Below are 13,699 nucleotides of genomic sequence, written 5' to 3'. Positions count from 1 at the left end.
TCTTTTTTGGTTCCATACGAACTTTAAAGTGGTTTTTTCATCAGAGAAATGCAAATCAAAACCACAATGAGATACCATCTCACACCAGTTAGAATGGCAATCATTAAAAAGTCAGGAAACAACAGGTGCTGGAGAGGATGTGGAGAAATAGGAACACTTTTACACTGTTGGTGGGACTGTAAACTAGTTCAACCATTGTGGAAGTCAGTGTGGTGATTCCTCAGGGATCTAGAACTAGAAATACCATTTGACCCAGCCATCCCATTACTGGGTATATACCCAAAGGACTATAAATCATGCTGCTATAAAGACACATGCACACATTATGTTTATTGCGGCACTATTCACAATAGCAAAGACTTGGAACCAACCCAAATGTCCAATAATGATAGACTGGATTAAGAAAATGTGACACATACACACCATGGAATGCTATGCAACCATAAAAAAGGGTGAGTTCATGTCCTTTGTAGGGACGTGGATGAAATTGGAAATCATCATTCTCAGTAAACTATCGCAAGGACAAAAAACCAAACACCACATGTTCTCACTCATAGATGGGAATTGAACAATGAGAACACATGGACACAGGAAGGGGAACATCACACTCTGGGGACTGTTGTGGGGTGGGGGGAGGGGTGAGGGATAGCATTAGGTGATATACCTAATGCTAAATGACGAGTTAATGGGTGCAGCACACCAGCATGGCACATGTATACATATGTAACTAACCCGCACATTGTGCACATGTACCCTAAAACTTAAAGTATAATAATAATTAAAAAAAAAGAAAGAGACATAAAAAAGTTAAAAAAAAAAATCGCAAAAAATGTCATAATGTTTTAAGAAGTTTATGAATTGGTGTTGGGCCAGATTCAAAGCAGTCTTGGGCTGCATGCAGCCCACAGGCCACGAGTGGGACAAGCTTGATCTAAATAAAGCAAATTACCCACTGCTTTTCCTCCAAACAGTGATCACAATCTGTGAGAACAGGCTTTCTCATAGCTGACTTGTCAAGAAGAGGAAGCAAGAAAGGAAGAACCTATCTCTGTTTGGGTTCCCAACTCATCTCCGATATAACTCATCCTTTCCATTGACCTTTCACTTCCTATGCGTGGCTTCCATGACTCCTAAGTGCGCTGCTAACAAAGCAGACAGCAAAACCTCCTACTCCTCACCTAGCACCCCTCAGGGTAATGACTCTTTTCAGATTACCATTAAGACAAAAATTACAATCAGTCCTGCCTCATCAGTTCCTAGCATTAGTAAAACATTAGCAGAGCTCACTTTTTTGATGTGGACAAACTGACGGATATCCATGTCATCATCCTGGTTCTTGACATCAGGTCGGACTGTCTGAACAACCTGGCAGACCAATGACACGATGATGTCCCTCCAAGATGATGACAGTGAGTCACTATGGAGCAACTGCTGGAGTAGTGCCATCATGTGGTTATGATTAGCTGAACTACAAAAATATTATAAGAAAGAAGTTTGCATAGTTAATACTGCCAGAGACAATAATTCTGATGATAAAACAAACAGCCTACAAAGAAATAAACATTTCAATTACGGCTCACAGATAAGATTTTCTAGGTCAATATCATTCTTTCATTATATCTGTACCTTAAGGATTTTGCATATAAATGAAATCTGAATATCTTCCACTAAGAAGTCCCCTGCAATTGACTGAAATGAAATTTTAACACGTAAAATGGGGACAGACAAGCACAGTTTGGGGCTTTTGTTTTTGTTTTTTTTCTCTGAGACGAAGTCTTGCTCTGTTGCCTAGGTTGGAGTGCAGTGGCGCGATCTCAGCTCACTGCAACCTCCGCCTCTTGAGTTCAAGCAATCCTCCTGTCTCAGCCTCTGAGTAGTTGGGATTACAGGCCAGCGCCACCACGCCTGGCTAATTTTTGTATTATTAGTAGAGACGGGGTTTTACCATGTTGGCCAGGCTGGTCTCAACCTTCTGAGCTTGTGATCCTCCCGCCTCAGCCTCCCAAAGTGCTGGGATTACAGGCGTGAGCCACTGCACCCAGCCGGGGCTCTTGGTTTTATAAGAAATTTAATCACAAGTCAAAATAGACTGTATTTCCTAAGTAACCTTAGTATTTTTTTACTTTCTAAGGAAAAAGAAAAAGACCTCCCTTTTTAAGAGGAATGATGCATATGCTTATCAAGTCACTGAAGATAATAAAAGTGAAAAATTAAAATTAAAAATTTCATTGCCTTACAGCAACCTCTCCATGGCTTGTTTCTCCCCATTCTCCTCCCTCAGGAGCTCCAGGTTGTTATGATGCCAGCCCAAAGGTGTGAAAGGCAGCTCTTTGGATTTTTCCTCTACTCGGCGATTAAATAAGGATTCTAAGTACAATATAAAATAAGAAGTTATTACTTCATTGTCCTGTTTTATACCATCTACTCATATATTTAGAAATTGCCCTTTGTCTTTATAAATGTTTTAAGTTAGCCAACATAAATTATTGGTGTAAAAAGGCAAGAACATGTAATAAACATATAAATAAAATGCATAAGAAAATACTTACAAATACATAAAATACACTAAAAATACAGAAATGCAAGAATTAAGAAGAGCAGTAATTGGCAACAGCCAAAATCAGAAACAGAACTGTGAAAATCAAATGTACGTAACTAAGACTCTCAAGCCAATAATTATAAGCACAGCTTCTGAAAAGCAAATAAAATGAAACTTTTGCTTCTCCTTTTAATTTTTAAAAACGAGGGTGTTAATTTCCCCTTTAAAATCACAAACTGGGCCGCGCGTGGTAGCTCACGCCTGTAATTCCAACACTTTGGGAGGCCGAGGTGGGCAGATCACCTGAGGTCAGGAGTTCGAGACCAGCCTGGCCAACATGGCGAAACTCCATCTCTGCTAAAAACACAAAAATTAGCTGGGCGTGTTGGCACACGCCTGTAATCCCAGCTACAAGGGAGGCTGAGGCAGGAGAATCACTTGAACCTAGGAGGCAGAGATTGCAGTGAGCCAAGATCGCACCACTGCACTCCAACCTGAGTGACAGAGCGAGACTCCATCTCAAAAAAAAAAAAAAAAAAATCACAAACTGAAAACTGCATTCAACAGAAATCTGAATGCTGGCAAAAGAACACATGATAGCGAGAGTGATGAATTTTCAAGAAAGAAGCTCAGCTCAGATATCACAAAACAACAGATGACAGTGTAGAAAGTCTATTCAGACAATCCTCAATAGTGTTTCTCTTTCAATATTGGCACAGGGGTTTTTTAACAAAATTTTAGCAAGACAGACTCAAAAACATAAATATTAAAACATAATAAATAGCATTTATGTAGAATTTGTGTAAAATCTTTAAATTTTTTAAAGGATGAATGAAAATAGATAAGACAAAAAATAAATAATAAATGCTTAACAAAAAAATATGTTCACTAAATAACTGTTGAATAATCTGACCAAATAAGTGGAAAGAAAAGAAGTGGGAAATGCTTACAAAAATTCTCTAACCTGTCCCCTCTTAAAAGCAAAACAAACAAACAAAAAAACTTCCACCAAACAGCCCAGCAGATTACACAGTAAAGTATATGTCCATGACATGTGAAGTACAAGAATTGCACATTTCAATTACATAAAGGGCCACTCTGTAAACTTCTAGCCGAACCAGATGCTTGGAGATGAATTTAGAAGCACTGCCAAGCTATCAGATAAGCTGCAGTGGCTCCTTGTACCCGCTTGCCTTCTCTCTTTGATCTGAAACCGTGGGAGCCAAGAAGGAAGAGAAATTTTCTCCCATTATCTGAGGCCTAACCAGTGGAGTACTATGGACTAAGAATGTCTTTACTCTAGGAAGCTAAGCTAAGCTAAGTAGGGAAGGAATAGGAGAAGGCTAATCTCCTTTTGTGTCCAAAAGAAATTTATCATCAGAGTTAGTTCTTTAACCTCTACTGCCTGCTTCTCTTCCTCACTCCACAGGGCAAGCAGCATCCTTAACTGGAGATCTGCCTGTGGGCTTTTTGACAAATTTGACAATCCTTGATGATATTTATATCAATACTTAATATTATATTCACAATACAGTTAAGTGTAAACTATGTCTTTAAAAGAATTAAGTTCAAATTCTACTTAAAAGTTTTTAAACAATTACTTTTCACATCAGAGACCTCCTTCTCGCAAACCAAGTCCAAGTTTACATTCTTGGTTCTCAACATTCTCTAAATCATTATATATATTAAAAACTGTGTTCCCATGATACCACCATAATCAAATATATTTTCAGCACCTTCTCTGTGCTAATCAATGTGCTAAGCCCTAAGTATATCCTCATGAAAAAAAGAGACACCATTCCACATACAGCTTTTTATAAAATTACCTTTGATGAAAGCGTCACTTATTGAGAGCTGTTGTCCTCCAGTGTCAGAAATCAAATACTCTGCATACCAGGGAGACAACAGAGAGGAGGAACAAAAGTAGAGACATATGACTATAACATGTCAGCATAATTATATAGAGAATACGCCCACACACAAAATATTACTCATACTAAACCCATCACTGCCCGGCAAATTCAAGAAAGCTTTGGGTAAAAATGCCTCTTTATACTTGTTCTATGCACTTCATACTAAACTTAAGCAGACTTGCATTAATAACACAATAGAGCCGTGAAAACAATTCTCCTTAATTCAAATGTCAGATAGAGAAATGTTTTTCTCTTACCAAAACCAACCGGTTTATGAAAATTAAATCTTCAGATACTTGTACGACCATCCTAAAAGATTACAGTTCTTTTCACATGTAACTTGATGATTTAACAAATAATCACTTTGCCTATGCACAAAGCAGTTCATACAGAACCCACCTGATAAAACAATATAAACTTTTTTCAAATTTCAGAATATAAGCTATAAAACAAATTAATACAGAAGTGACATTGGCAGGAATAAAGATAAAACTCATCAGTATTTGTATTAGTTCCAAATAAGTGTTTTTGTTTTTCAAAAATTATATCAAACACTGCCAAATTTTTGCTAGACATTAACTGAACACACTCTGAATGCTTTTAATATATTAAATACTTTTCTTACAAGTGAAACTTACTCTTTACTTCCCCGTGAACTTTCTCTAGGTCTGTGACCAAGCATAGCTCAAATGAGGTTCTTTCCACTATGCAAATTAAAACATGATGCATGTAAACTCCTTTACGGTAAAGGATCTCCACAAAATTTTCTCCAAGTACATTTATAAACAACTGGGCTTTAAAAGTTACTATGTTTATAAGCCAATATGCTCATCCTTCCAACCAGGAAACAAAGAAAATATTTTATTTAGAAAGTTCAAGTGCACTATGCCAAATACAATAAAATCGAGTATGTGGGCAAGATAGATGTTACACTTTATTTCTACTCTTCCCTCACAGGAATGAGTAACACCAAATCCTATTAGTTCAATTAATGTATTGTTCTTTACCAGCCTTCTCACACTAAAGCTTAATTGTATCTATATGAGACTCCAGAAATGGTGGATTTTCCCCATTTAGTTATGAAAAAAATTCAAACCTACAGAAAATGCTGTATACCATCCACCTGAGTTCAACAATTGTTAAGGATTTGCCATATATGTGTATGTTTCTTCCCCCCGATCATTCAAAGTTACACACATCATGACACTTTACCACTAGGACATCAGCACAACTCTCATAAAAATAAAGGTATTCTTCTCTATAGCCACAAAATTATTTACATATTTGAGAAAATTAACAATGTCTTAATAGCACAGAATTAGCCCATACTCAAGTTTATCCAACTGTCTCCAAAATGTTTTTAATCCACAGTTTTTCTTCTTAAGCCTCGATGCAATCAAGTTCACACATGGCATTTGGTTCCTGTATCTCTTCATTCTCTTTTAATCTAGAACAGATCTCCTGTCTTTTTTTCTTTTCATAACATGAATTTAAAAGAACCCAGGTCAAATGTTCTGTGCAATGTCCCACATTCGGAGTACAATCCATTGTTTTCTCATGGTGTGTTTAACTTGCTCCTCTATCCCATGTTTTCCTATACACGGAAAACTACATCTAGAGATTTACGGAAGCCGTGATTTTCACCTTCTTCTCTAGGTTTTACTTGCTAACTTTCCAAGAATAGTTCAGAATCCTGCTTGTAATACATAATAAAATATATTTTAACTGTACAATTCTCCAAGACCAATAATGAAAAATTAAGCCAGTTTTACGAGCTTCTGAAAATAGGGTTTTCTCACTTCAGACAGAAAGCATAAGTAGTATTTTTTAAAGTACAGATATTTCAACCAATTTTATAAATCCAATTTTCCTCAGCCTGAAACAATATAGGACAATCCATAAGAAAATATTTAATAAGTACTACCTTTAATTTCAATGTAAAGATAAAAACCATTCCCATTTGTATTTATACAAAGGGAATGAAAACCAGAGGCAAAAGAATTCTATTATTTTTTCACGTAACTACCAGTCTCCCTGGAAATCTTTATTTTCTGATAATCAGTGTTCATCTTGACTATAACACTCAGCAAACTATTACGCTTCAACTTCACAAGAAAAAATGTAAAAAGAATAACTCGTTAGTATGTTAAAAACTAAGAGAGAACTGTGAAAGCCAGTAATATTTATTAAGAGACTTTTAAAGTCTTCAAATTATAAGACTGCAAATGACCTAAGAGGTCAATTTAATAATTATCTTCTTCCTAATGCTGGAACCTCCTCTGTAATATTCTCACTGAGTAGGCTAAAGGATTATAATTTCTTTTTAATTCTAGATCTAGATTTTTCAGTTCACAGATTTAGAATTAAAAGAAAACTTAGAAGTCCCCAAGTCTATATAACGCATCACCCAATGCAGGCATCTGTCCTCAATAACCATGACAGGTGGACATTCAGACACAACCTGGACACTTACCATGCACAGTGGCAAAAGTTCACTACTCCCAACTACTGAATCTAGTTCTTCCTTCAGCCATATGCAAAATAAATATAATTTCTTTCAGGTACTCTTCAGATACCTAAAGGAAACACCACGTCTTTTTTCCATTTTAAATAGTCCAGCTTTCCTTAGCATGGTTTTCAGATGTCTTAGGATCCTGGCAACCTCGTTCTATTCATAAATGAGAACTGAACACAAAACAGTAAATTGGATCCTCATTCTAGACATTATATGGCCACTAATGAAATCTATTATTGCCCTAGGGAGTGCCAGGGAGTGCGGGGTTGGCACATCACACTATTAAGTTTGCAAATAACTAAAACTTAGATCTTTATCACACAAATTATTAAGAGTGACTTTCTCCAAAGTACTAATAGTAAACATGTTAAGCCTTATTCTTTTATGTTTAACTGTGTTAACTTTCATCTTGTTAGTCTCAATCTATTGCTTGAGAAAATAAAGATCTTTAAATGTCAATTCTGCTATCCAACACGCTAGCCATTCTTTCCAGATTTTAATTATTTGTGGACCTAAAAAAACATTAAAAGTGCTGACCAAAAAAAAAAGTGAACAACTCTAAATATAGAGTCAAGTCCCTATAACATAACCTAGGAGCATCCACTTCCTGTTGACATCAAATTATTAATTATCCTTTCAATATTTTGTACAACAAGCTACAAATCCACGTGTTAATACTAGTAGTGGGCCGGGTGCGGTGGCTCACGCCTGTAATCCCAGCACTTTGGGAGGCCTAGGTTGGCGGACTGCCTGAGATCAGGAGTTAGAGACCAGCCTGACCAACAGGGTGAAACCCTGTCTCTACTAAAAATACAAAAATTAGCCGGGCATGGTGGCAGGAGCCTGTAATCCCAGCTACTTGGGAGGCTAAGACAGGAGAATCACTTTAACCCGGAAGGCGGAGGTTGCAGTGAGCCAAGACCAGGCCATTGCACTCCAGCCTGGACAATAAGAGCAAAATTTCGTCTCAAAAAAAAAAAAAAACCAACTACTAGTGTTATCATAAGCTCTTACATTCACCAGATACACTACACTCTTTGTGTTTTTCATATTAAAAGCTCATACTAAGTAGAATGGTGGTTACCAGAGGTTGAGGGAGTGAAGGGAATGGGGAGATGCTAGTCAAAGGGTAAAAAGTTTCATTCAGACAGGAGGAATAAGTTTTTGAGATATACTGTACAGCATGATGACTACAGTTAATAATAGTGTATTGTATATTTCAAAATTGCTAAGAGTAAATTTCAAAGGTTCTCACCACTAAGAATAATATGGAATTTTTTTTCTTTTTTTTTTTAGATAAAGTCTCACTCTGTCACCGAGGCTGGACTGCAGTGGCAAAATCATCGCTCACTGCAGCCTCAACCTGCCAAGCTCAAGCAATCCTCCCACCTCAGCCTCCCAAATAGCTGGGACCACAGGCGCACACCACCACACCCGGCTAATTTTTTTGTATTTTTTGTAGAGACGGGGTTTTGCCACATTGCCTAAACTGGTCTTGAACTCCTAGACTCAAGCAATCCGCCTGCCTCAGCCACCCAACTTGCTGGGATTACAGGCATGAGCCACTGCACCCTGCCCCAACAAAAAGGATTTGAAATGATGAATATGTTCATTAGTTTGGTTTAATAAACATATCTATCATTTCAAATCCTTATTCCTTAATCATTCCATATTTTATACATACTTTGTAACATCTTTTTATATCCCATAAATACATACAATTATAATTTGTCAATTTACAATTTTAAAAATAAAGCTCATACAGACTCCAAAGCCTGTGCTTTAAACAAGTATGACCATTGCCTTTGCCTCTTTTAACATATTTCAAGTACGAAATTGTCCTCTTTGTCTACAAAATTATTGAGAGATCATTAAATGTCTTATTAACATCAACAAAGATAGTATCTATTATAGTCTTCTGATTTATCAATCTTGTATCACCATAAAAAATGGAAATGGGGTTGTTTTGGAACGACTTAGTTTGCTTAACCAATGCTGGTGGCCCAGTCACCACCAATCCCTTTTCTAAATACCACAATACATTCTGCTTACTACACTTCTCTACATTTTGCCAGCTTCCAAAGTCAAATCAAGAACCCATCTTTAAAAAAAAAAAAAAAATGTATCTATCACTATAGTCATCTAGACTCTCTCCTACTCTTCGAAACTCTTCAAAGATAACAAACTCTGGCTCCATGATCCCAGATCCAAAGTCTTTCAACAACCTGGCATACAGTTTGCCTAAACCTGGCAACAGACTTATTTAAAAAACCATTAATTCTCTATCTCTTCAATATCCTGAACTTCACTTTCCTCTTAACCATGTGTATTCTTTCCTGATAAAGTTAGTCTAAAGAGCGGGGAGGAAAAAGAAGCCTTCTTTTAGTCATCAATCAATATTACATAAACTTTCCCAAATAACTGGCCTAGTTTTTCTTTCTACCAAACTTTAAATCTTTCTCAGATATCCTTGGCATTTTCTCCAACCTTCAGGGCAAGCTGGACTTCCATTAGACTGTCATTTTTCTTAAAAGTGCTGCCCCCTCTTTCAGATTCATTCTCCTACGAAAGTTGCCACTTACAACTTTGATAGATAATCTTTTTAAAGGATTGAGGGCCAGGCACAGTGGCTTATGCCTGTAATCCCAGCACTTAGGAAAGCTAAGGCAGGTGAATCACTTGGGGCCAGGAGTTCAAGACCAGCCTGGCCAACATGGCAAAACCCCACCTTTACTAAAAATACAAAAAATTAGCCAGGCATGGTGGTGCGCACTGGTAATCCCAGCTACTCAGGAGGCTGAGGTGGGAGAATCACTTGAACCCACGAGGCGGAGGTTGCAGTGAGCCAAGATCGCGCCACTGCACTCCAGCCTGGGCAACAGAGTCAGACCCTGTCTCTTAGAAAAAAAAAAAAAAAGGATTGAAATCAGGGAGGTTCAAAAGGGGTCATATTTTTGTCAACTGCAGGTGCTTCTCCTGTCAATTTCCTTGGAGATACAATCTGGGGTTGCACCATAACAATGTCATTTTTGGAGCCTCCTGTTCCATTCCACTCCGAATGTTCTCAAGTTAGGTTTTCAAAAGTAAGTATCTGACTGTGCTCAGCAGTCTATCCTTCCCTATTACAAATTCTATGATGACAGGTCACTTTCTTCAAGATTTTCAAAACTTCTTTAACATTCCAAGAGATGAAATCATCACCAAGTCAAAAGTATACTTCACATTCTGCTTACAGCAAAATGTGATTGCCAACAGATGTGTCCAGAGAACAGATGTTCATCATCTGTGTGCCCCTGACCCACATCTGTAAGTTTATATTCAAAACCTTCATAATATCCTCCAAGTGACCACCATCTATAGTTAATTCTCACACAAGTGTCATATCTGCTTTTCCCTCCTTTCATACTCACCCAAATATTCTCCATCATTTTTCCAATTTCTGTTTTGAGGATTTCCATAAAGATGTCTATCTTACTCATGTTCAATGCTAGTCAAGTCTCATTAACACACCTTCTCTACTTATTTTTAAATAACATATTCCTTTTTATTACTATAACTCTTCAGTACCATTTTACCACATCTTGATAATAGCTAATACTGACAACTATGAGAAATTTGTTGGAGAAATATAAACTTGTATCAAATCATTTTAGTATAAATGTTTGGTTCAAAAGCTTCTGTTTTCTGATCATATTCTTAGGCTCGAAATAGAGTGCGCAAAACTTAGGCAAGCATTTCAGATCTAAGTAAGGAGACAATTCCACTTTAGACAGTTATATGTTTAAAATACAAACTCCAGGTAAAATCATGGAATAAAGTGCTTCATCTTTATAATAATGATTTTTCAGTTATTACAACATAACAAAATCCCACATTTATTTATTTACTCATGTATTTTTTATTTATTCACTTTTACACAATCCCATGATAGGACTATAATTTAAATTGGCTTTTAATTATACCCAATAAAGTAAACCTCATCATCCATTTTAAAAACAGGCATTTCTTATGTGCTGCTATGTTAGATTTTAGTAATGTTTACCTCTTTCTCCTTTTACACCAAATATCTTTTGAATATGGTCACTATTATTTTTCAGCCAGTAGACTAAAGCATCAAATAAGATAGCTAAAAATAATGAATTCATTTTACATTAGAGAAGAAATTGTTTTAATAAATATAGAATATACATAATAAGCATTATGAATTATTATGGAGATATTTTGGAATGTGTGAATGATTTTCCCCCAATCTAGTTCAAGCATCTTAATGGGTTTAGTGAAATATTATGTTACTGGGTAACGGCAAAGGCAAATAGGCTTTAAAATGTTAAATGAAGAAAGAGAAAAGAATAGAGCAGAACATCCATGTTATAAATGCAAAGAAATGCCACCTTGGAAGTTGCACATTATGGGAAGAGCAGTCAGATGTAGTTCCTTTTAAAGACTACAAGCTTTACACTGGGCATGGTGGTGCTGAGGGAGAAAACAAGAAATAAAAGGAATCAACCAAAAAAGGTATGGGGAGGAGGTGTGGGAGAAATGAGAAAGGGTAGAACAAAACCCACACCAAATACCCTCAGCCACGTGGGACAGAGGAAGCCAGAAGGACAGGCTGGCATGAGATCCTATGGCCCAGCTGTCCAGCCTGTGTTTGGATTCCAGATGGTGACTACCTCCTACCTTTTTGGTCAGCAGGGTGAGGGGGCACATGTGGGTACTTGGAGGGCTTCTTGATATGGAAGTTCACGTTGTCCAGCTCCACGTTCAGGCTGATAGAAGCGGCTGAGTCACTGTCCACTGTGGACTGGAAACTGCTGACTGATGTGCGCTTGCTAGGACTGGCAGAATCTTTTAGTGTTGGGAAGGGGAAAGAAATATAGGGAGAGGAGGGGAGTAAAAATGGGTTTTATCAGGGTATTGGAGGAAAGGAGAAAAATGTTTTTTTAATATACAAGCCCAATGTGCAATACCAAAATGGATACAGTATTTTCATGTACTTCTGTGTAGACTTAATAAAATTTGAACAAGTTAAATATAAAATCAATTTTTAAAATGAAGAAATATATTGGAGGTTCTGCAGAGAGAAAGTCTGATATTATAGTGAAGAGATGAGAAAGTTGTCTGCTGCCATATTATTAGTTCAGTTATTTTTAAGCTGCTACAAACTATAGACTATGGTAAAATCTAGAAATGTCAACCTAACAAGTTGGTTTAAGAAAATACTGTATCTAAGACAAAGACTGCTATCAGATGTTTCCATTTAGTTGGAGCCATAAATTATAAAGCTGAATTATTTCAACAAACAAGATAATCATTTTATCATACATACACAGCAATGACCCATCAAAACTAAAATGTTAGAAAGTTAAACTCACTAGCCAAATTATCGTCACCTTCTTCAGCTATCTGTTCTGTGTCACTGTCATCAAACTTTATGTCTTTAAACCAGGATGGCTCAGAGTGTCCTTCCACGGAGTTCACTGAGTCACTGTCGGGAGAAGGCGTCTCAGAAAATTCTGTACTCTGAAAGGATGAAGACAGGATCCAAGCAATTGGCCTTCAATGGCAACAATGTTGAGGCTGTCACACTATAAATAAATTGTAGTCCAATATTTCTATGAACCTAACAATTGAATTTTATAAAAATAAACAAATTAACAAAAACCAAGTTATAAACCAGAATCATACTGACAATTCCACTCTTTAAAATTGTGATTTTCGTTAACTAGAAGACTTAAGTAGTATATTAAGAACAAAACATTTTTTTGATACAGATTTTATAGTGTTTCATTTCATGCCTTAGTCCTGAGAGTGAAGATAGCTTAGAATTTATTTTAGCTCTGGGGCAATTCTCTCCAGAACACATCTTGCAAAATAACTTTTAATCAATCATGCCACACCAATATTTGGAGTCATTTGTCTCTTCTAACCATTGACTTTCGAATTTTAGTTCACAAAGGTGTTACTAAACATTACACAGCTGACCTTTGAACAAGGGTTTAAACTGCATTGGTCTACTTATATGTGGATTTTCTTCTGCCTCTGCTACCCCTGAGACAGCAAAAGCAATCTCTTCTTTTCCTCACTCTTCCTCAGCCCACTCAACACGAAACGAGGATGAAGACGTTTGTGATGATCCATTTCCACTTAATGAATAGTAAGTATAGTTTCTCTTCCTTATGATTTTCTTCATGTTTCTCTAGCTTTATTGTAAGAATATGGTATATAATACACACAACATACAAAATATGTATTAATTGTCTGTTATCAATAAAGATTCCAGTCAACACTAAGCTATTAGTAGTTAAGTTTTGGGGAAGTCAAACATCCGTGAATTTTCAACTATACAGGGGGTCAGTATCCCTAATTCTTAACGGTCAGCTATATATATATGTGTGTGTGTGTGTGCCTGTGTGTGTATATGTATATATATGTTTATATATGTGTGTGTGTGTATATATATAACCTATATATTGTATCAAATTACATAAACCAAGAGTGAAAGTATATCTTTTTTTGAAGTTAAATCTTCAAATAATTTCCACTTCCCTAAAGTAAAAAAACATATATTCATCAGTATACCATTGTTTTTCGTTTGTTTGTGTTTGTTTTGAGACGGAGCCTTGCTTTGTCGCCCAGGCTGGAGTGCAGTGGCGCAATCTCGGCTCACTGCAAGCTCCACCTCCCAGGTTCACGTCATTCTCCTGTCTCAGCCTCCCAAGTAGCTGGAAC

The 13,699-nt window shown here is 36.7% G+C and overlaps 1 protein-coding gene across 41 annotated transcripts in view; it reads right to left on the bottom strand.

Annotated features, from left to right (window-relative positions):
• The window catches only part of PIKFYVE (phosphoinositide kinase, FYVE-type zinc finger containing), a 92,691-nt gene that overhangs the window by 42,086 nt on the left and 36,906 nt on the right, over nt 1–13,699 (bottom strand). For 18 of the 41 annotated variants that reach the window (XR_007070607.1, XM_011510779.3, XM_047443667.1 and 15 more), the window contains 5 exons: nt 12,343–12,490; nt 11,648–11,815; nt 4,366–4,425; nt 2,238–2,367; nt 1,288–1,468 (listed from right to left, as the gene is read on the bottom strand). Coding sequence is in view for 40 of the 41 variants with exons in the window: in XM_011510779.3 (XP_011509081.1) it covers nt 1,288–1,468; nt 2,238–2,367; nt 4,366–4,425; nt 11,648–11,815; nt 12,343–12,490 (687 nt within the window). In the remaining variant the exon portion in view is untranslated. Of the gene's footprint in view, nt 1–1,287; nt 1,469–2,237; nt 2,368–4,365; nt 4,426–11,111; nt 11,816–12,342; nt 12,491–13,699 lie in introns of those variants that run through there. The other 23 variants (XM_047443672.1, XM_011510783.4, XM_047443680.1 and 20 more) reach the window with 4 other exon arrangements.

The sequence above is a fragment of the Homo sapiens genome, chromosome 2 (assembly GCF_000001405.40).
Source record: "Homo sapiens chromosome 2, GRCh38.p14 Primary Assembly".
NCBI classification, from domain to species: Eukaryota; Metazoa; Chordata; class Mammalia; order Primates; family Hominidae; genus Homo; species Homo sapiens.
The sequence above is the reverse complement of the archived record's forward strand: the minus strand, read 5'-3'. Positions and strand labels throughout refer to the sequence as shown.